Source organism: Homo sapiens, chromosome 1 (genome assembly GCF_000001405.40).
Source record: "Homo sapiens chromosome 1, GRCh38.p14 Primary Assembly".
In the NCBI taxonomy this organism is placed as follows: Eukaryota; Metazoa; Chordata; class Mammalia; order Primates; family Hominidae; genus Homo; species Homo sapiens.
Window position 1 is genome coordinate 76,452,023 of NC_000001.11, and position 24,289 is coordinate 76,476,311.

A 24,289-nucleotide genomic window follows, 5' to 3' on the forward strand; every position below is an offset into this window, starting at 1 on the left:
CTCCTTGTTAAGTATTGTGTTGGCTGTGGGTTTGTCATAGATGGTGATATGGTTTGGCTGTGTCCCCACTCAGATCTCATCTTGAATTTCCAAGTGTTGTGGGAGGGACATGATGGGAGGTAATTGAATCATGGGGGCAGGTCTTTTACATGCTGGTCTCATGATAGTGAATAAGTCTCACAAGATCTAATGGCTTTATAAGGTGGAGTTTCCCTGCACAAGCTCTCTCTTTGACTGCTGCCATCCACGTAAGATGTGACTTGCTCCTCCTTGCCTTCTGCCATGATTGTGAGGCCTCCCCAGTCATGCAAAACTGTAAGTTCATTAAATTCTTTTTCCAGTATAAATTACCCAGTCTCAGGTATGTCTTTATCAGCAGTGTGAAAACAAACAAATACAGATGGCTTTTATTGCATTAAGTTATGTCCCTTCTACGCTGATTTTGCTGAGGGTTTTAATTATAAAAGGATAGTGAATTTTGTGAAATGCTTTTTCTGCATCTATGGAGATGATCATGTGATTTTTGTTTTTAATTCTGTTTTTGTGGTGTATTACATTTACTAACTTGTGGATGTTAAACTATCCCTGCATCCCTGGTATGGAACCCACTTGATCATGGTGGATTATCTTTTTGATACACTGTTGGATTCAGTTAGCTAGTGTTTTGTTATGGATATTTGCACCTATGTTCATCAGAGATATTGGTCTGTGGTTTTCTTTTTTTTGTTATGTCATTTCCTGGTTTTGGTATTAGGGTGATACTGGCTTCATAGAATGACTTAGGGAGGATTCTCTCTTTCTCTATCTTATGGCATAGTGTCAGTAGGATTGGTACCAATTTTTCTTTGAATGTCTGATAGAATTCAGCTGTGAATCCATCTGGTCCTGGACTCTATTTTGTTGACAATTGTTTGATTACCATTTCAGTCTTGCTGCCTGTTATTCGTTCATTCAGAGTTTCTATTTCTTCCTGCTTTAATCTAGAAGGCTTGTATCTTTCCAGGAATTTATCCATCTCCTCTAGGTTTTCTAGTTTATGCGCATAGAAATGTTCATGGTAGCCTTGAATTATCTTTCATATTTCTCTGTTGTCAGTTTTGATATCTTCCATTCCATTTCTAATTGAACTTATTTGGATTTTCTGTCTTCTTTTCTTGGTTAATCTTGCTAGTGGTCTATCAATTTTATTTATCTTTTCAAATAACCAGGTTTTGTCTCATTTATCTTTTGTATTTTTTTTGTTTCAATTTCATTTAGTTCTGTTTGGATCTTGGTTATTTCCTTTCTTCTGCTGGGTTTGGGTTTGGTTTGTTCTTGTTTCTCTAGTTCCTTGAGGTGTGACCTTATATTGTCTGTTTGTGCTCTTTCAGACTTTTTGATGTAAGCATTTAGGGCTATGAACTTTCCTCTTGGCACCGCCTTTGCTGTATCCCAGAGGTTTTGATAGGTTTTGGCACTATTATCATTCAATTCAATGAATTTTTAAATTTCCATCTTGATTTCATTGTTGACCCAAAAATCATTTGGGAGCAGGTTATTTAATTCCAATGTATTTGCGTGGTTCTGAGGGTTCCTTTTCGAGTTGATTTCCAGTTTTATTCCACTGTGATCTGAGAGAGTGCTTGATATAATTTCAATTTTCTTAAATTTATTGAAACTTGTTTTGTGGCCTGTCATATGGTCTATCTTGGAGAATGTTCCATGTGCTGATAAATAGAATGTATATTCTGTAGTTCTTGGGTAGAATGTTCTGTAAATATCTGTTAAGTTCATTTGTTCTAGGGTGTAGTTTAAATCCATTGTTTCTTTGTTCATTTTCCATCTTGATGACCTGTCTAGTGCTGTCAGTGGAGTATTGAAATCCCCCACTATTATTGTGTTGCTGTCTATCTCATTTCTTAGGTCTAGAAGTAACTGTTTTATAAATTTAGGAGCTCCAGTGTCAGATGCATATATTCTTGGGATTGTGATATTTTTCTGTTGGACAAGTCATTTTATCATTATATGATGCCTCTCTGTGTATTTTTTAACTGCTGTTGCTTTAATGTTTGTTTTGTCTGATGTAAGAGTAGCTGTTCCTGCTTGCTTTTGGTGTTCATTTGTTTGGAATATCTTTTTCCACCCCTTTACCTTAAGTTTAGAAGAGTCCTTATGTGTCAGGTGAGTCTCTTGAAGACAGCAGATACTTGGTTAGTGAATTCTTATCCATTCTGCCACTCTTTACCTTTTATGTGGAACATTTAGGCCATTTATAGTCAATGTTAGTATTGTGATATGAGGTACTATTCTATTATTCCTGTTATTTGTTGTCTGAAAATTTGGTGTTTTTTAAATTGAGGTTTTGTTTTATAGGTCCTATGAGATTTGTACTTTAAGGAGGTTCTATTTTGGTGTGTTTTGAGGATTTGTTTCAAGATTTGGAGCTACCTCTAGCAGTTCTTATAGTGCTAGCTTGGTAGTACAAATTCTCTCAGCATTTCTTTGTCTGAAAAAGACTATATCTTTCCTTCATTTATGAAGCTTAGTTTCCCAGGATGCAAAATTCTTGGCTGATAGTTGTTTTGTTTAAGGAGACTGAAAATAGGGCCCAAATCCCTTCTAGCTTGTAAGGATTCTGTTGAGAAATCTGTTGTTAATCTGATAGGTTTTCCTTTATAGGTTACCTGGTGCTTTTGCCTCATGGCTTTTAAGATTCTTTCCTTTCATCTTGACTTTAGATACCCTGATGACTATGTGCCTAGACAATGATCTTTTTGCAATAAATTTCTCAGGTCTTCTTTTAAACTGGCCTTTTTAAATGAATTGTGCTAGTCTTCAGTGAGCAGTTTGAATATGGAGTCTCTAATTCATTTTTAAGTTCTTGAAAGTTTTCTTGAATTATTTACTTGATAATTTTCTCCTATGTATTTTTTTTTTCAGTTCTGTTTCTGTAACTACTGTTAGTTTTGTATTACATAGGAATTTATTCTCTAGATTTCATTTTTACAAACATTCATCTCATTGTCCTTTTATTCCACTTTCTGGGAGATTTACTTAAATATATCTTCCAATTATTTGACTTTTTAATACTCATCTGTTAATTTTTTTATTTTCAACACTACTTTTGCATTTTCAGATTGTTTCTTTTTCATAACAACCTGTTCTTATTTTATGGCTACAATATCTTTTATTATTTACATCTATCATTATTTTCTGTTTTCTGCATATATTATGCATGCATTTTTTTTCTATTTCCTTGTTTTCTGTTTCTTTTGACATTTGACTTTCATTTTGGAAGTTTCCCTCAATTTATGATCATCTTCTGCTGCTGATTCATATTTAAGAATAAAGCAAAAAATAAAGACAGATTTTGAAATGTGTTTGAGTGGAAGGTTTTATGTTCACTGTAGCTTGGTCTTGCTGAGCCAGCCCTTTTGGAGGATACCTGATTTAGTGTATATAGGTTTTTCTCTAGAGAGACATTGAATTTTTTCAGAAAACACCTCATACTCTTGCTTGGGAACATAACCCTTGCTTCCAGGAGGCTGAGGATCTCACCATTCTGTGTATGGATTTGGGGCTTTCAGCTACAAGTTGAAAACCAATTCTCCATTGTGTCCGTTGCTCTCTTTATTTCAAGTACTGAGGGAAAAAATTTTTTGCCTTCTCTCTGGGAGAGGACTACAGTTGCATGCCTATTCTCTAGGTATTGACTTTCAACCAGTACTCTGTTCCTCTTTTACCCCAGCATTTTGTTGTGCTTTTTAAGATATCCTGGACTCTTAGTCTGACTTACTACCTCTATAAATGAAAATTGCTTGAATTTTCAGAGCCTCTTTACCCTTATCTGTAGAATGTCCACCTTAGGAATTGAAAGAATTATTTATGTAAAAATACTTTATGGCTGGATGTGGTGGTTCACACCTATAATCCAAGCACTTTGGGAGGCTGAGGCAGGCAGATCACTTGAGGTCAGGAGTTTGAGACCAGCCTGGCCAACATGGCAAAGCCCGACTCTACCAAAAATACAGAAGTTATTCTGCACCTGTAGTCCCAGCTACTCCAGAGGCTGAGGCAGGAGAATTGCTTGAACCCACGAGGTTGTGGTTGCAGTGAGTCAAGATCATGACACTGCACTCCAGACTGGGCGACAGAGTGAAACTCTGTCCCAAAAAGAAAAACAAAAACAAAAACAAAAACTTTGTGAAGTAACTGTAAACCACAGTACAATTCAGCTATATGACTGTGACTTCTTTCTATGCCATTAGATGAGAAACTCATATATGACAGCTACACTGCTACAGATTTATATGGTCTCTTTTTTCGTTTTTCTTTTCTTTCTTTCTTATTTATTTATTTTTTTGAGTCGGAGTCTCATTCTGTTGCCCAAGTTGGAGTGCAGTGGTGCAATCTCGGCTCATTGTGGCCTCCGCCTCCTGGGTTCAAGCAATTCTGCCTCAGTGTCCTGAGTAGCTAGGATAAGAAGCATGTTTCACCACATCTGGCTAATAGATATTTCTTTTAAGTTTTATATAATCTTAAAAGTTCAGGCAAATCAATAAATGTAATCCAGCATATATACAGAACCAAAGAAAAAAACCACATGATTATCTCAATAGATGCAGAAAAGGCCTTTGACAAAATTTAACAACCCTTCATGCTAAAAACTCTCAATAAATTAGGTATTGATGAGACGTATCTCAAAATAATAAGAGCTATCTGTGACAAACCCACAGCCAATATCATACTGAATGGGCAAAAACTGGAAGCATTCCCTTTGAAAACTGGCACAAGACAGGGATGCCCTCTCTCACCACTCCTATTCAACATAGTGTTGGATGTTCTGGCCAGGGCAATTAGGCAGGAGAAGGAAATAAAGAGTATTCAATTAGGAAAAGAGGAAGTCAAATTGTCCCTGTTTGCAGACAACATGACTGTATATCTAGAAAACCCCATTGTCTCAGCCCAAAATCTCCTTAAGCTGATAAGCAACTTCAGCAAAGTCTCAGGATACAAAATCAATGTACAAAAATCACAAGCATTCTTATACACCAATAACAGACAAACAGAGAGCCAAATCATGAGTGAACTCCCATTCACAATTGCTTCAAAGAGAATAAAATACCTAGAAATCCAACTTACAAGGGATGTGAAGGACCTCTTCAAGGAGAACTACAAACCACTGCTCAAGGAAATAAAAGAGGATACAAACAAATGGAAGAACATTCCATGCTCATGGATAGGAAGAATCAATATCGTGAAAATGGCCATACTGCCCAAGGTAATTTACAGATTCAATGCCATCCCCATCAAGCTACCAATGACTTTCTTCACGGAACTGGAAAAAACTACTTTAAAATTCATATGGAACCAAAAAGGAGCCCGCATCGCCAAGTCAATCCTAAGCCAAAAGAACAAAGCTGGAGGCATCACACTACCTGACTTCAAACTATACTACAAGGCTATACTATACTACAAGTAACCAACTATACTACAAGTAACCAAAACAGCATGGTACTGGTACCAAAACAGAGATATAGATCAATGGAACACAACAGAGCCCTCAGAAATAATGCCGCATATCTACAACTATCTGATCTTTGACAAACCTGAGAAAAACAAGCAATGGGGAAAGGATTCCCTATTTAATAAATGGTGCTTGGAAAACTGGCTAGCCATATGTAGAAAGCTGAAACTGGATCCCTTCCTTACACCTTATACAAAAATTAATTCAAGCTGGATTAAAGATTTAAACGTTAGACCTAAAACCATAAAAACCCTAGAAGAAAACCTAGGCATTACCATTCAGGACATAGGCATGGGCAAGGACTTCATGTCTAAAACACCAAAAGCAATGGCAACAAAAGCCAAAATTGACAAATGGGATCTAATTAAACTAAAGAGCTTCTGCACAGCAAAAAAAACTACCATCAGAGTGAACAGGCAACCTACAAAATGGGAGAAAATTTTCGCAACCTACTCATCTGACAAAGGGCTAATATCCAGAATCTACAATGAACTCCAACAAATTTACAAGAAAAAAACAAACAACCCCATCAAAAAGTGGGCGAAGGACATGAACAGACACTTCTCAAAAGAAGATATTTATGCAGCCAAAAAACACATGAAAAAATGCTCACCATCACTGGCCATCAGAGAAATGCAAATCAAAACCACAATGAGATACCATCTCACACCAGTTAGAATGGCAATCATTAAAAAGTCAGGAAACAACAGGTGCTGGAGAGGATGTGGAGAAATAGGAACACTTTTACACTGTTGGTGGGACTGTAAACTAGTTCAACCATCGTGGAAGTCAGTGTGGCGATTCCTCAGGGATCTAGAACTAGAAATACCATTTGACCCAGCCATCCCATTACTGGGTATATACCCAAAGGACTATAAATCATGCTGCTGTAAAGACACATGCACACATATGTTTATTGCGGCATTATTCACAATAGCAAAGACTTGGAACCAACCCAAATGTCCAACAATGATAGACTGGATTAAGAAAATGTGGCACATATACACCATGGAATACTATGCAGCCATAAAAAATGATGAATTCATGTCCTTTGTAGGGACATGGATGAAATTGGAAATCATCATTCTCAGTAAACTATTGCAAGAACAAAAAACCAAACACCACATATTCTCACTCATAGGTGGGAATTGAACAATGAGAACACATGGACACAGGAAGGGGAACATCACACTCTGGGGACTGTTGTGGGGTGGGGGGAGGGGGAGGGATAGCATTGGGAGATATACCTAATGCCAGATGATGAGTTAGTGAGTGCAGCGCACCAACACGGCACATGTGTACATATGTAACTAACCTGCACATTGTGCACATGTACCCTAAAACTTAAAGTATAACAATAATAAATTTAAAAAAAAAAGAAAAAAGGAAAAATAATCTTGTAAAAAAAAAAGTTCACATGAATCTTGCATCTTGCTCCATAATTTATCTGTTTTAATGTAAAAATAATGTTCTTCAATCTTTTATCATGGAGCCAAACTGACAATTCAGGAAGATATGTGTATTCCTTTTGGGATTTATGTGCCTCCCAGCATATTGGGAGATATCCTTAGCAGTTTATGTACCCCTGTTTAAGTTTTATAGAAATAATCTCTAAGCCATTAGTTCTGATAAATTTGGTTCCTTCCAATCCTTTGTTTCTAAACTTTGATTCAGGATGATCTGACAAATTAAATAGCACCCTTAAACAATAAGGCATCATGGCCCAGTATACAGAGAAATATGGAGATAGAATAGAATTGGCATGGTGTCTCACGCCTGTAATCCCAGCACTTTGGGAGGCCAAGGCAGGCGGATCATGAGGTCAGGAGATCAAGACCATCCTGGCTAACACAGTGAAACCCCATCTCTACTAAAAATACAAAAAATTAGCCACGCGTGGTGGCGGGCACCTGTAGTCCCAGCTACTCGGGAGGCTGAGGTAGGAGAATGGCATGAATCCAGGAGGCAGAGCTTGCAGTGAGTGGAGATTGCTCCACTGCACTCCAGCCTGGGCGACAGAGCAAGACTCCATCTCAAAAAAAAAAAAAAAGAATAGAATTGACTATGGGCTGTTGAGGGAGTAGCTTATTACAAATGTGTAAACCTACTTGTGCCTTGTTGTTGTACAGAACAGTGAAAATTGCCAGGGGAGTGGAGAAGAAAATTAGCAGTGTCTGCCTATTCTGGATATTTCACATCAATGGAATCATACAATAAGTGGACTTTGAGTCTAGATTCTTTCACTTAGCATGCATGATTTTTCAAAGTTTGTGTTTTAGCAAATATCAGTACTTCATTCATTTTTATGACTGAATAATATTCCATTGTATGGATATAACTCATTTTGTTTATTCAATCATCAGTTGATAGATGTTTGATGATTTCTCTTTTGGCTACTGTGAGTAGCGTTGTTATGCATATTCTTGTACAGGTGTTTACTTGAATACCTGTTTTCAGTTCTTTTGGGAATACTTAGGAGTAGAATTGATGGATACAGTAAGTCTATGTTTAATTTATTGAAGATCTGTCAAATTGCTTTCTACAGTGATTGAATCATTTTATATTCCTACTAGCAACGTTGAAGGTTCAAATTTCTTCACATTCTTGCCAACCCTTGTTATTTTTCATTTTTTTAAATAGCCATACTAATCAGTGAGAGGTAGAATCTCATTGTGGTTTTTGTTTTCATTTTCCTAATGACTAATGACATTGAGCATTTTTTCAAGCGCTTGTTGACCATTTATATATCTTTAGAGATATGTCAAGTCTTTTGCCCATTTTTAAATTGGGTCGTTTGTCTTTGTGCCGTGGTGTTTCAAGCATAAATCTATAGACAAAATAAAAGCTACTTGTTGGCTGTTTTATTGGAAATCACACAACTTGGGAAAGTCTCAAGGATAAATTTTGCTAAATTCTTTGTCCACTATTCACTAAGAGGGTCCCTTACCCTTTCTTTTCCTTTGATCATTGGTTATCTGGTTTCACCTGTCAAGAAATAAGCTGCCCTTTGATTGTGGATAATAGGTGAGACACCGCAGAATCAAGTTACACTGTTGCATCTGTAAAGTTTCATCACTGTGTGTTTCCAGGAGTCAGGATTTGCCATCAAAGTCAATTGCCGAATGACTCTGACTTTATTATTCTTTATTTGCATTAACAATTGCTCTAAGCAGTAACACGATTATAACCCAAAACAGCAGCCTGTTATCTATCATTTATTTGATTTAATACATAGAAATGGATGTCTTTCAAAGAGCATTTATTTTTTTCTTCACATTCTCTTCCAAAATCATTCTCAGTGGAAACATTTAGCCTTATAACATGGAGGAATTCCTTTGTAAATCCAGTGACTATGTGGGAGACTAAGAATTTCTGATTTTATTAAGTATTTTGGATAAATGGGTAAAGAGAGGAATGGTGGCAGATTTTACAATGGTTGGTTTAGGCTTCTGTAGGCCTTGAGTAAGGTGAGTAGGAGTAATGCCTGTGGTCATTTCATTTGAATGGCCTATTTATTGAAGTAAATTCATAGTTCAAAAAGATCCAACTTAGAAAAGCCTGAGGCAGAAATGGAATCCTGGGAGTGCAGATTGGTCATTGTTTTATTTAATCTGATTCCACTTTATTCTCCTCACGGTGAAATTGTTCTTTATGATACTCTGTATCTACTGGTAGTTCACATCCTTCACAGAATCCTCTAACTATGCAAAACACATAGTGAACAGTTATCATTTGAATCTTAGTACAACTTTAATAAGCTGTGTTTTATATTTAAGTAGTTTCTCCCCTGGTGGTTGCCCGTGGCAGACTTTGGAGTTTGATAGCTCTTCACTCCCTATTTTATACATCTCTAAGTAATTATACCCTGTGCCCTTAAGCCTCAAAAGCATAAAATTATTTAAAAACATACAATTAAACACTTCAGATGACAGTGTTAAAACTTCAGAAGAAGACACTCACTTTGGAAGAATGGTGCTTCGTGCTGGAGCCTTTATATCAGCTCCTTCTTCTCCAGAGACTTTGGGCTGAAGTTTCTGTCTCAGCATGGGCATCTGCCATGCTTGTTACAGGCTCAGGATGACCCAGCCTCAAAATTCTATTAACTTGGGATACCATTTTGCAAGGGAATTCTTGTCATCAGCTTTGAGGGAGGGGAAGCATAATGATATACCTGATGTTGACAGTAAGTGTTGTAGTGGCAGTGACCACGTGTTATACTCCTGATGGTATGCTAGGCTCCCTAGGTACATTGTTTTACTTAATCCTATTGAAACCCCACAAGGTGATTGTTATTACCCTCTCATTTTACAGATGGAAAGACTGGGGCTTAAGTAGTTGTTTGGTTAGTGAGACAGTAAAAAGCAGAATAAGGATCCAGACTTAGGTAAACTGACCACAGTTCTGAAAAAGCAAGCTGGGCAGGGTCTTGATGGTGCATAGCATGTCTTCAGCATGGTCTCCTCTGGGCAGTGTGTCTGACTTTCCTAGTCAGCCTGACCACATGGCCTCCTGTTTCCTTGGCACCCTGTACGTGCTTCTTCTGCAGCTGTTGTCATCGATATGGCAACTCCCTCCAAACCTGTCCCCATCCCCCCAGCCTGTAAACTTCTTGAGAGCAATGATGCTGTGTTGTTTACCTCTGTATCTTCAAGACTCAACACAGAACAGGAGTTCAAAGTTTGTGGAATGAATAGTGGAATTAATGGTAAAAAAAAAAAATGTGTACATACGTGAATTAATAGGTTGTTTCCTGCTCTCTCCCCCAACTCTTAATATAAAATGGGCCCAGCCATTTTCATAAGTCCCTGGGTAAATCATTCCATTATTTTTCCCTTTACTTTGTTCAGTCCCCATAATTCCTTTTTTAGACTGCCTTGTGCATTCTTATTTTCTACAGTTGGCACTTATCTGTGATCCAAGCCACATACAGCCTTTTAAAAGTGTGAGATCTTACCCATTAGTAGGTCTTGAAATTAATTTTGAGGGTGGCAGCCAGCATTTTTTTTTTAAATGAAGAGACTAGAAAAGAATACAACTTCTCAGCATGCATGGCACATAGAAAGACACAGTATTTGTTTCAGATGGATAGATAAATAGAGGACATATATGTATCACTAGCACTTGTTTGACCACAAGTCACACACTAGGACATCATTTAAGACAGTGAAAGACATTTAGGCACATAGACACAGTATTTGTTTAAGATGGATAGATAGAGAACATGTAAGTATCACTAGCACTGATTAAATATCATACGTGCAGCCATGTTTTAAGAAGGCCAAATGCTGCAGGGATGCTCATTAGGGGAGTGTATTGCAACAACCACTATCCACATTTTAAAAAATTGTACATTGTGACCAATTACATATCTGCTGTGTACCAGATTGTACTCTGAAGTATATTCCTTATTGTTGGAAAAACACTGTCCTAAATGACGTCCCAGTGTGTGACTTGTGGTCAAACACCCCTTGCTCTGCTAAAGTAGTTCCTAAAGTCTTATATTTTGTAAAAGCTATTATAAAACTGTCACCAAAGTTTAGAAAATTTAATCCCAGTGCAATTATTTTAATGATGTTAAAGTATAAATGCTGCAGAGAATTTAATAGGAAAAACACATAGAAAGTTCTAAAAATTTTAATAGTGGGAGCTTAACTTTGAGGTTTGCAGAATTATTTTATTTTGTACTCGTCTTTAAATTTGCTTCTCCAAATGTTCACCTAAAAGTCCCGCTGCTTTAGGTAAATTGCGGGGGCTACATTTATATCAGTCAGTGGCATTCATGTAGGATTTCAACTTCAACTTGCTGTGAAGGAGCCAGACTTTGCTGTGGAATGCATTCATGTGCAGAGCTGCCTTGCACAGCTCATTGGAGATAAGACAGTTTTGACTTCACATGCCAAACTTTTGTCACTTTGTCTATTTTCGTATTTCTCTATGACTCTGCAGAGCCAAGCTTTTGATCGGTTGAGCAGCAAATTGAAAATGCTCTTCTTAAAAAATCTAATACTAAAGTGAATACCAAGCAATACTGCATTTCCTGAAATGAATATTTGTTGAGTGCTTACTCTGAGCTAGCCAATTGTTGTACCCTGGGGTTATAAAAAATGAATGAGATTCACTTTCTGCTCTGAAGAGTCTTCTGGTCGAGGAGCTTTCCTACCGCAGGGTTTGGATTCATCTTGCTTGGGTCTACGGGTAGACTGAAGATCCTTCGTTTGCCCTCCCAACTCATTCTGGGCCTTTCCCCACCTTTGACCTGTGAGGCTGGTCAATATGGGCTGCAATCGAGGGCTCCCTTGCTGTCTGGCATCTGGTTAGGTTTAACCAGGGGGAGCACTAGCAGGAACTAGAGGGAAGGAGAATGGAGAGGTTAGCATATGTGTTCTCCCGGCTCCCTCCTTGCAAGGTCACCCAGGTTGGCTCTGTCTCTCTACTAAAAGTCACAGCTTCATTCAGGTGTCCTCTCCACACTGTTCTTTCTGTTTCCATGTTCTAGTGACTGCTCCCTCCCCTAGCTTGCCCTCCTTTCCCCTATAGGGTACTGTGCCATCCCTTGTGGTTTTGCTATACCCTCACCACAAACTCCTAAATCACCCTTTTGACACTGACTTAGTACCTCACTGAACACGACTTTACTCTGAACTTTTTCCTTTAGGTCCTTTCAGTGCTCTTGACTTATGCCTTAGCTAATTTTCTGCCATGATTTCAAAAGACTTACGTATTTGTACGTTTCCAGGAAGCCATCTTATTAATCAATATGGAAAGTTATTTAAAACCACAACCTCTGGTTCTTACAAATATGTGTTAGCTCTATGAAATTGATACTTGGAAAGCTCAATAACTATTTATAACTGTGGGTGATGTTGATCATGACCCATCAATAGGTCAGAGCCTTCATTGTTAATTACCTAGTTCACTAGGCTTTGTTACAGGCTGGATGGAGGTAGGTATCCCGGGAGGAATAGTCTTACAGAATAGTAGGAGAACTTACCACTTTGCTGACAAGTTGACCACCAGTCCCCACTTTGTGAGTCCTATTTTAAGTGTTGCCATCTGTTCTCAGAAAAGAATTAAAAAGGATGAGATAATCATTTAAGCCCCTGGCAACAGCAATAGCTGAGTAAGTGGTCATTTATTCATTGCCTCTGTATATCAGGCATTCTACTTCACAAGCATCCTACTAGAATCTTTAAATTATCATTATATTTAACAATTACAATTACCCTACGAGGTCATTCTTAATTCCACTTTATAGACAGAGAAGCTGGGAGTAAAAGAATGTAGGTGACTTTCCCAGGGAAGCACAGCTGGTTATTTCCAGAGCTATGATTTGAACCCAGCTCCATCAAACTCAGAAGTATTCCTCCCACTATTTCATCTCCCCAAATCTCTTTCTTTTTGCCTTCAATGTTGCCAAAAGTCATGTTTGGCATCAGGTTTAAGATTATTAAAACTTCAAACTTTCTTTTTTCAAAATCAGGCGTTCTATAAATTAAAAACAAAATCTGATTGGGATTCATCTCCTTCTCTTCCAATAGAAACAGAGTAGAGGGCATGGAATTTGAGGGAAAAGGAGGAAGAATAAATGAACAGCATATGAGCAAAGGACCTGGGGAACCCCCAAGTGACTAACAATCAAAAATAGAATTTTCTGCATGTCAGATATTGAGTCATTCGCTGCATGGCCCAATTAACCTTTCTTCTGATTCCAGATTTTGAACTTGTGTCCTTGGAGAACAAAATGCTTACCCATTGCCTTGGCTGAGTCACTTCTGTGCAGTTTTAGATGAACCCTGCTTGCACATTATTCCATTGGAAACAAGCATTTTCACAGTAGGTTAAGGACTGGGACTAAAAGAAAAGAGAAAGCTAAGATGTCCATCTGAAAACTGTCAGTGTCGTCTCAATGGAAAGTTATGATGTTTTACTTCTCTGAAAAAGCTAAAGAAAGCAATCTGGCCAGTTATAAATTTAATTTATGAAAATAATACCACAGGCCTAAATCATCCAACACTATAGCTATTGATTCTTCTTTCTAGTTCCTTGGGGAACAGTTGCTGTATTTGAGAAGGTAGAACTACAATTGTCTTACTTTGTCATTTAAATGTCATATTAGCCAAACACTGAGCACAGCTGAAGGGTTGCAAACTGACTAGGAAAGAATGGGATAGTATTTTTCATTTTTTTTTTAAATGTAATTGGTAGACAGATTTTCCTGTTGGTGAGGGCTGATTTTTTTTCCTCATTATTTCTCTCTCCTTTTATTTTCTCCACAATGTTGCATTTTCTTGGTTTTCTGTGAGGCATTAGGAAAGGATAAATCATGACGTTCTGGGTCTATGGTCTTTTTTAATCTCTCAGATTATTTTCTTTAACAGAATTGTTGGAAAGTTGGCTGTTACCTGACAGAAAATAAAACAACCAATTTTTCATCGCAAGTTAAATAAACATTGAAAAATCAGCATTCTACAAGGACCATTAGCTTATGTATCACTGTAAAATGTTTTATGACTCTTGGTATAAAGGATGCTCATATAAAAATAAATTGTGTCATAACAAACATTTCTCCCAGTCATGGTTTGTAATAGCCTTAATCTCAAATAAATCTAGGTTGAACATTGTAGTCTCCAGAAAAACTGACCTTCAGTTTCAAATAGTTGGGTTAAATCATTGTGATGATGACATAGTCTCAGATATAAGGAGATATGAACTTGTATCAGCTCCCCAGATAATCTTTTATTTAGAAGAGGAGAGATGTCTCAATGAACTGAAATTGCTCTTGAGTGAACCATTTTATTTATATATCTTCTTATTCTGACTACCAGTTCACACACAGTGCCACAGAGAATCCTGCACATAGCTCCCTAGGGTTCCTGAGAGAGCAATCCATGGAAATACATAGATTAAAAACCATGAGCAATTGCCATTTTACATCTGTCAAATTAGAAAGCATTTTTAAAGTGCAATACTGCTGCTACAATGTTGGTGAAGTGACTGGACTCATATACTACTGGTAGCAATATAATTGCTTTGGAAAGTATTTTGGCAATACATCAAGTGTTAATATACTTTGATACTACAATTACACTTCTGAGAATTTTGTGTAAGGAGTAATTTAGAAGAATTCAGAAGGCTAAGATGTTCACTGCAGAATTTTTTATACTAGTGAACAGTTAGAAACAACTACGTGCTCAACAATGGAGACTCTTAGTCAATTTTAAAAGTCTGTAATGGGTTATTTGCATGAAGTCTAATTGGCAACGTTTAAAATTTTGTGATATAGAGCTCAGTAAAAAGTACTAATTATAAGCATATAAAATTATTGCATATAGATAAGAAGCAGACTTCGCTAAAATTGTTCAGATTTAGCTGTTAAATGATATTTTAGCTTTATAATTTTTGTATTAAACAATAAGATCTAAAAACTACTTGACTGTGAAGATTAATATTAATGAAAAGATGTTTTTATTCGCACTTTCCTTAAGATGTTTTAGTTGTTCAAGTATGAATCTTTGAGACCTGAAAGTGTCAAGGATTCGGAGAATTGGCATTTATATGATCTAATTTACAAAAAAAGAAAAGAAACCAAATAAATGAACAAAAGAGAGAGACATTCTTCCAGAATAATGAAACCTCCCATTCTTGTTCTTTTGGGGATTTTTAATGTTGGCACTTGGAGTAAGAAGATCTCATCAGATAATTTAGAGAGAAGTCATTCCTTTAACATGATGAAGCAGTGTAGCTTGTGGCCATGAACCGTGAAATGTCCTGATATGAGTGGCGTAAGTAGGCTTTTTGGAAGGGGCTCTATCCCAAAGAGCCATAGGACAGAAGAAAATGTGAATATAGGTGATCCATCCCTGCTATGCTTGAATCAGATCTATAAACATTGCATAGGGAAAAAAGAAAACTTTTGGAAATAACCTAAATGCCCAACAACTGGGGATTAGTTAAATAAAGCATGGTATAGTCAGATGATGAATTATTAAGTAGGCATTGAGAGTAAAGTAGAAAAATATTAATATTAATATTAATCTGATTAAGTGTCTGCAGTAAAGTTATGTGAAAAAGGGAGATAAAAATTATGTATACAATATTAAAAAGTTGTAAACTTATCAATAGTGGTTATCTGGATGTTGGAATAATAGACAATTAATTCTCTATTCCTGTCCATATTCTTCAATTTTTTTTCTCCTATACTGTGCATTACTAAAATAATTAGGAAAAATTTTTTGCAATTATTTTTTCTTAAACTGTATGGGTACCCAAATACATAATGAATGAGCTATTGCCTGAAATAATTTAAAAAGTGGCAGCATATAAATTGCAATAAAATGAAATACAATTTTCACTGTATAAATGGAATGAAAGTCTAAAGCAGTACTCAGGTAAGGACATTTCGTTTTAATGTAACGCCAGTGAGGAGCTTGCATTTAAGTGCCAAATATTGGTATTTATGTATATGAAAGCTCTTCTTTACTCTCTTATATTTTCTTTTTTTCTAAAATTTTTTTTTTGCTAAAATTAGGGTGTCATATATACCAGAATCAATCAATTCTTCCTTCTCTCCTTCTTTTCTTTCTTTCTTCCATCCCCCTACCTTTCAATTCTGCAAAGATAGGCAAGTGAGTGAGGGTGGGTCTAGCTTAGTGTTTGCCCATATGTAAAATGTTTTGAGTTCATAAAATCCTGAAAAAATTAAAGCAGCAGACAGAAAACAGAAAAGACCCCCACTTAGATACTGATTAGCAAATAGACACAAACATTTCCTCTAAATACTTCAGTGCCTGTGATTTAAGTAGCTACTTGGGACACATTGAAGAGTCTGTTGTTAGCTTTCTGCATTCACATGATAAGAAACAAAGAATTCTTTAGGCTTGACCTTTGCAAATAGAAAATCCTGAAAACGAGAATGCTGTAATTTTTCTTTGTGAAGCTCAAACATATATTGAAAGAGATTGGCCTCGAATCTGTCACCTTCTCATCACTAAATATGGCAGCCCTGAAGTTAATTAAATAATGCAAATGCTCAAGGCGGCCTTCACTCACTCCTTTCGATGCACTGATAAATGGAGGATTTTAGTTAGGGGTTTGTTCTTGTTCTTACTCATTTTTTTACCAAAAGATTTTGTCTTTGCTTGTAATACTTGAGGATCTACACTCCCATTATCTCAATTGAGGCTAAGGGACTAAGGGATTCCCTGTCCAGTGTGTGATGGGCCAGTGTAATCATTATAAGTGATTTCAAATCAATATAATTTGGCAATAGCAAAAACTATGAGAATTTCTCCTCAACTTTTTATTGGTTTTAGGTAAATACTTATGAAGTAGAGGAAAGAAGGTAGGACATGTGAATGGAAGGAAGGAGGGAAAGAGAAAAATACTCTGAAGTCATGCAGGAAAAAATAATTTCTTTCCTTGGCCACTGAACCTGTTGATGTGGACTCATTTGTTTTTTCTCCCTTGGTGGTTTAAAAGAGAAAGCCTCACCAAAGGGTAATCAATTGATTATTATAATATTATTAGCTGGATTAAAATAATGTTATTTGTGCAGAAAACAATTCTTGCATATGTTTATTTTAAATTCCTCTGATTATGTGTTGTAATGGCTTAGCCTAGGAGTTAGCCAAAAATGATGTTTTTCTAACACAAGACTGTTGTTGAAAGACTTCTTTTTCCCTAATTATTTATTGTGATCCTAACACAACACACACCCTCCTGTTTCCTCCTTCATGCCATCATCATTTACATTTTTGTTACCTCCTTGTGGATTTGAGGGACGATATCTAATAGTACAGAACATAGCATTGCTCCAGGACCTAGCACAATGTCTTGCCTAGTGTAGGTGTTTAGTAAATATTGAATGAATTAAATTCAGAACCCTGAGGGAGAAAAGTCACAAATTTATCAAGTAATTCACAAAGAGACATATCCCTGACAGCTAATCCAGTTAAAAGTATTAAGGTAAGCTGAAACCAGAATATGTTTCAAATCATTTCTCTTCTTATAAGAGTTTTGTTACTGGCTGGAACAGTTGTTTCTTGGTATGCTGATCGAATGTGACTTGAGCCAGAAAGATTCACAATGAATAACACCAGGAGGCTTATGAATGATGTATAAAGCCAACCAGTCTAATGACAGGTAAGGCAGAGGTGAGCAGTTACTTTATTTCAGAGCAGCCAAAGTCTTGGCAATGTAATGCAACCACGGGAATAGTGAGTGGTTGTGACCAGTTTGTAGTAAACTTCTAGAATGAAACAAGCTTTAAATGTTCTGATGGATATTTGATCTTTTGTATTAATGGAGCCATTGCTTCAGATGAGCACAAATGAAAATGGCCCCTCTTGCTCCTCTAGTATTTGCCCAGGGGTTACAAGGATCAGCTAAGTGCTATGGAGGGTATTAATCACTTTTTACTTGCAGTGAAACTATATTTGTTTTTTGGTAACTAGCAATTCTAATACAGTAAAACTTCAACTACTAAATAAATATCATTAGTATTATGACTTTAATTGAAGACCAAGGTGTCACCATCTTGAAGAAAATGGTGAAAGTTTACTTTCTGTTCCCTATTGATACACCAGGGCCAACACTGATGACCTGTTAACAATAATGATATAATTTTTTTTTAATTTTTCCTGAATTTTCTTTCTAAAATCTAGGTTCGGCAACAGAATAATCAAAGGATTTATTGCTTTGCCATTCTGTGCCTAGCACTGTGAATCTCTGTAACTGACTTGATAGAAACATAGATCATAATATTTTTGGGTGGAAATGAATCACAGCTTATGGTTGCAAAAGATTCCACATGAAGCTAATGGATTGTAGACATCTGGGAATGGGAAATGATATGGTAGACTGGCTAGCTGAAGACTGGGATCTACTCCCACTGCATGTGTTTCTGTATATAAAACCAATTGCTCATGCTTCTGTTTATTCATTAAATGAAACTCTTATTTTATCAGGTGGGTTCCTTTTCAGTGGCAAGTTAAAATAAATTAGAAGAACTAGAAAGTGATGTCACAAACATGAAATACATTTTCTCCTGTGTTGTCTCCCTGTTGAAAAAACCTTTTCAAACAGATTTTTCCCTCATGGTTCCCCAAATCCAATAGGGGGGAAAAATCCAGGGTTTCTTTTCCCCTGGAGTTTGGATAAAAACTCAAGGCTTGATCTCTTTAGTCCAAATGAGGTCACCTGTCCATTCCAAGAGGCCATCACTGAGGCCAAGAGAATACCTGGGTCACAGTTCTCTACTGGAAGTGGGATTAGCTCCACATAAACTGGGTTGAGCACAGGGCGGGAATTCTTATGCTGAGGTGATTTTACCAGAAGTAGAAATTGGATGTTGTAGGCACATGACAGATATTCACTGTGCTTACTGGTAGCCAGGTCCTTTACAGATTGTTGATACAAAGACAAACATGACTTGATCTCTTTCCCTCTCTGAATCTCACCACCTGATCTTTGTTAATAATACCCTGTGGTCAATTTTTCTTACGTCATATTTCTAATATTGTCCTACCCTTCTTCAAAAATGTTTCTGGTTCTTTATCATCTATTGATTAAAATATTAACTCCTTGGTTAACTTTCTTCAATCTACCTCTCAATCCTGGCAAAAGTGACTGATTACATATCCTTGGATTTTCCTGCCTCTGTGAGTGTCCTGGAATGTCTTCCTCCATGCTAATCACTGACCATCTGAATACCGTTAAGGTGTAGTTCAGATACTGTCTTCATAAAACACCCACTGATTTCCTTCATCTACTGTCTATAGCACTTAACATGAACCTATCTTAAAGCACTTACTGTTTGTTTAACAAGTAGTGCCAAATGCTTACTATGTTCTTATTGTTTTTCTGAGTGCTTAAAAATATGTTTTTCTACTTTGTATCAGTGTTCTTGGTGCTCTTGTCTTTTATTCCCAGTAAGCGATAAGCTCAGTGAAGCCGGGATTCTTAAAGGCAATGAGTTACCTACCCATAGTGGGCAAACAACATATTTATACTGGATAAATACATGTTAATCCAATTTGCACATTTATTGAGCACTAGCACTTCAAACCTAAGAGAGTAGGGCCCTATTTTCTTTCAAATCTCTCTCTGCACATAGTATGGTGACATATATGTGTTAGGCATTCAATAAACATTTGCTAGGCCTCTAAATGTGATGGAAATTTCAAATATCCAGATATCTAAGAATGAGCCATTTCCTTTTGTTTTACATTCTTCAGTCTTTAGGCATCATTTTTGAAACCTCTTGTCATTTTGCTCTTCCTAACAGTTTTTACAAGAATGTCTAAGTTCTACTTTCTAAGTTGAGCAGGATTTGGGTCCCCTTTTTTTTTTTTAACAACAGGGACATTTTCAGCAATTGCAAATGCCTATGCTATTGAGCCATTGCTAAAATACTGGGTTTTATAAAGTGCTTCTAAGGGCCAAAGAGCTTTGCTGGCCCATGGTCTGTGCAGGTGTTCATGAGTTAAAGCATTCAATGGCCCTAGCAAACATGACATTTAAGGAGGTAAGCATTGATTTGTAGAGTCACTTTCAAGTACAATAGAACATCTTGCCTTCATTTGTGAGTTTCTTGTTTGAAATGGCCGACATTTTAGGTGTTTCCATGTAGAAATTTTGTCTAAAATATGTAAAGCATAAATGGGTAAAAGAAAAGATTCATTTACTTGATCTCATCCATGCTGGACAAGGACAAGGCTTCCATGTTGTCTTTCTATTCTGAACAAGAGATTGGAAGCCTTTCTCTCTCTTTTTTCTTTTCTGTTCTTTTCTTTTCAGTTTTCCTCTTTTGTCGTTTCTCTTCATGAATAACTTTTCAACCAAGTTAGATGAATGCCAATAGCTGTCAATTGCCACTGACAACTAGAATGGCCTTGGTGATCTGTGTGAGAACAATTTTAGGGAAGTGGTGAAGGCAGAAGCCAGATGACAGTGGATGAACAGTTGACTCAGTAGTCTGGTGAGTGAGATGTGAGCTCCGGAAAGGGACCACCCAAGCTAAAACCCAGACTCTGCTACTCACTAGCTGCTGACAATAGGCATGTTACCAAAGCGCTCACTCTCCCTGCCTCAATCTTTTCCTCTATAAAATGGGAATAAAAATAGAACTATCTCAAGGTTGTTATGAGTAGTAAATGAGTTCACGTGGATAAGATGCTTAGAACAATGCCAGTTTCATTATAAGTACTCGGTAAAAATTAGCTGTTGTTTTTGGTGCACGTGCGAAGACAGCAAGTTGAGACTACTTTTGAAGCTTAATTATGAAAATTGGAGAGAAAAACGAGGCCAGAGGTAGATACAGGCCAGGAATTAGGTGAAAGGTGATTATTTTATATTCTGGGGGAAAAGAAGTGGCTCTCGGAGAGTGACAGATTACAAATGGGGGAAGAAGGATTAATTGATGGAGTAATAGTGCTGAAAGGCGAGTGAGGATGGAATTCAGAGAAGAGGTGAATAGATGGATGGATAAATCTTGGATAGAAGGGGCTTCTTGTTCTCTAAGGCTGAGGCTAAAGTGGAGGTAATAAGGAGGAAAGGCTAAGAATGCATGTCTTTGTGGGTGGGGAGTAGAGAGTTGAAAGGATTGAACCCTAACAGCTTACTGTCTCTGTGAAATAGAAACAAGCTCATCTGATGGGAGACAAGAGGTTTCAGAGTGAGGAATAGAGTAGAACTCATAAATGAAGGAGAAGTCACACAGCAGTAACTCCTAGAGACCCGATGACACTAGCCAGAATGTATAGTCTAACCAAAGGATTGAGAAGTCAGGTATGATAAGAAATTGTGCTCACACAGTGAGACACTGGCATTTGCTTCCACAGGTGGGACATTTCTAGGTGGTGACAAATCTGAGATGAACCATTTGAAAATTTTTGTGGTCTGCAGTGTACAGCTTGAACTTAAAAAATATTTTTACCACAAATAAATGATTGATTATATTCATACCTTTCTTGAGTTATTAAATTATCTTCTGTTTCCTATACATTTGCAGTGCTATTGGGATGGTAGACTTTCAGAGTTGAATTATATCCTGCCTCTATTCCACCTAATGCATCCTTGAGAATAGTTATAGATGGGAAAGTCACATTTTATTGTGCTTATCATGTTATTCTTTAGTAGACATTCCATTAATGTAGAAACATACATGGTGTGATACGGATTTTATCTTGTGATGATCAGATGAAAAGCCCTCCTTTCCTGCATACTCTTTTGCAATGTTATTTCATCACTCTTCCCATCAAGAGGTGGAGTCTACATTTCCTCCTATTGAATCTGAGCCAGGCTTGGAATTAGTTTAACCAGGATAAGGCAAAAGTAGCACAGTGTGACTTCTGTGCCTAAACCTTAAGATACATTGCACTTTTCATTTTTGCCATGTTAGAATCCTGAGCTAACAAGAAAAAAAAAAGCTTTAATTTCCCTGGCCTGCCAGAGAGAAAGGCCAGGTAGACAGAGACCCAGGGGATGAAAAACCATAGAAAGAGATAGGGTGAGACAGTGAGACAGCATCAACGAGTTCAATCACCCCAACAGAGACATTGGACATGTTAGTAGGACCAGCTTGCCTCAGTCAACACATGTGGCACAGAGACAAACCATTGCCATAGAGCCTCCCCACAATGCAGAATTGTGAGCAAAAACATGGGGACTGTCACTTTAAGCAGAATAGTTTTGAGAGCTTTATTATGCTGCAATAGGGCATGAAAAGAAAGAGCCTCAAAGCAGAGAGACAAATTACAAGACCACTGGCATAATCCAGATGTCAGGCAATGAGCTGGAAAGTATAGAGAGAAAGGTAGAGGAAAATGTGGGAGAGCAGTAGGTGGCAAGGTTCAGCGGGACCTCATGATTGGATCTGGGACAAAGGAGAAAGAGAAATAAAGATTACTATGACACTCTGTTTCTAGGAAAATAAGATTGTGAACAGCAATATGGTCTAGATAAAGAACTGGATTTTGGGGGAAGATAAGTCCAATTGGCAGTTGTTATTTCTTGATGTGATACCACAACTTCTATGTAAAACACTCCTAAGCAGCTGGAGATACAGACCAGAAGCAAAGGATGGAGTCAGGTGATTAGAATAGCTATTAACTGTTTTTGTTTCAAACAAAAAGATGCAGTCAGCTCTACTTCCCTGTTGTTCCAGCCTAAAGGGTGTTTTCTAATTTCCTTCTAACTCCTATATTGAGTAGGAAAGGTAGAGATGTCAAGAGAAGGCGGAAGAGAGAAAGAGAGGAGAGGGAGAGGACTCTTGTGAAGAGAAAAAGCCAACTCGCATCCTGTGGGATTGCACCTTATTTTAGTTGCACCTCTTGGAAGCTTCACTGCTTATGTAAAAATAAGAAAAGCAACATACACGCTCAACTAAAATTATCGTCATTCAAGAGTCCTCCCTTTAAATAGCACCAAATGAAAATAAGAAACCCTAACCTCAGCTTTTTAAATCACAATGGAAGGATAAGAGATGCTTTCCATTTATGGGATCTTAGAACCTTCAAAATGGTGCTACTTTTGTTCCGTGTGTGCATAGGGAGGAAGCTGGGAATGCTGAGGTGGCGAGGTTTCACCTGGCAGTCAGGATTGCTACTTCCCACTCACCAAGTTGTGCAATATTTGCAAGAAGAGCAAAAAATAAAAGATAGTGTCTCTTTAAAAGGGAGACAGTGTAGTTTAAAGAGGCTACAGTGTAGTGTAGCGGCTTACGCTCTGTGGTCAGCAAGAACTGAGTTTAGGTCCTTGTCCCATCACTTACTAACTGTGAGACCCTGGATACAATATCAACTCCTAAAAACCTCAGTCACTTCAGCTGTAAAATAGGGAGAATGCTGTATACTGGGGTTGTTTTGAAGAGTAAAGCAGAATATGTATGAAAAGCACTTAGTCTGGTAAGGGCACAAGTTACTAAGTGGTAACTATAGTCATTGGAATTAGTAATTTGGGACTTTCACATATTTGGCTTATCATTGAGACTATTTTCCAGGAATGTTTACAATAAGAAACTTGGGCCAACTGCATTTTAGTCAAGGATTAAAATGTAACAAATGTGTAATATTATATTATGTAACAGCAGATGATTTTAAAATTTACAAGTGTCATTAAGATTTCTCTCCTAGGGTACAAATGTTGTTGTTTCACAGAATTTTTAAAAATTATTTTATTTATTTTTTATTCTACTTTTATCTCTGGGATACATGTGCAGAACTTGCAGACCTGCCACATAGGCATACACGTGGCATGGTGGTTTGCTGCACCCATCAACCCATCATCTACATTAGGTATTTCTCCTAATGCTGTCCCTCCCTTAGCCCCCAGCCCCCGACAGGCCCCGCTGTGTGATGTTCCCCTCACTGTGTCCTTCTGTTCTCATTGTTCAACTCCCACTTATAGGTGAGAACATGCGGTGTTTGGTTTTCTGTTCTTGTGTTAGTTTGCTGAGAATGACGATTTCCAGCTTCATCCATGTCCCTGCAAAGGAAATGAACTCATCCTTTTTTATGGCTGCATAGTATTTCATGGTGTATATGTGCCACATTTTCCTTATCCAGTCTATCATTGATGGGCATTTGGGTCGGAATTTTTATAAAACTTCAAGCAAACCGAAACTGACATACTGGCTACTTATTTTTTTTCTTCATAATTCTGGATGTCAGAAAATGAACAATGTTCTAATGCAGAAGGCAAACTTTCTATGAAGGACCAGACAGTAAATATTTTAGCTTTGCAGGCCACATACGATCTCTATCACATACTTCTTTGTTATTTCTT

At 37.3% G+C, this 24,289-nt stretch overlaps 1 protein-coding gene across 15 annotated transcripts in view, besides 1 other annotated feature; it reads left to right on the forward strand.

The window, feature by feature from the left end:
* Positions 1-24,289, forward strand: part of ST6GALNAC3 (ST6 N-acetylgalactosaminide alpha-2,6-sialyltransferase 3) — a 562,594-nt gene that overhangs the window by 377,277 nt on the left and 161,028 nt on the right. The window lies entirely within an intron of this gene.
* Positions 12,164-13,363: an enhancer, noted in NCBI's record as "CDK7 strongly-dependent group 2 enhancer chr1:76929871-76931070 (GRCh37/hg19 assembly coordinates)". NCBI's record gives its function as "activates an origin of replication core promoter dependent on BRD2, BRD4, P300/CBP, MED14 and CDK7 cofactors, with strong dependence on CDK7, by STARR-seq in HCT116 cells {active_cell/tissue: HCT116}" and the evidence as "EXISTENCE:reporter gene assay evidence [ECO:0000049][PMID:35650434]".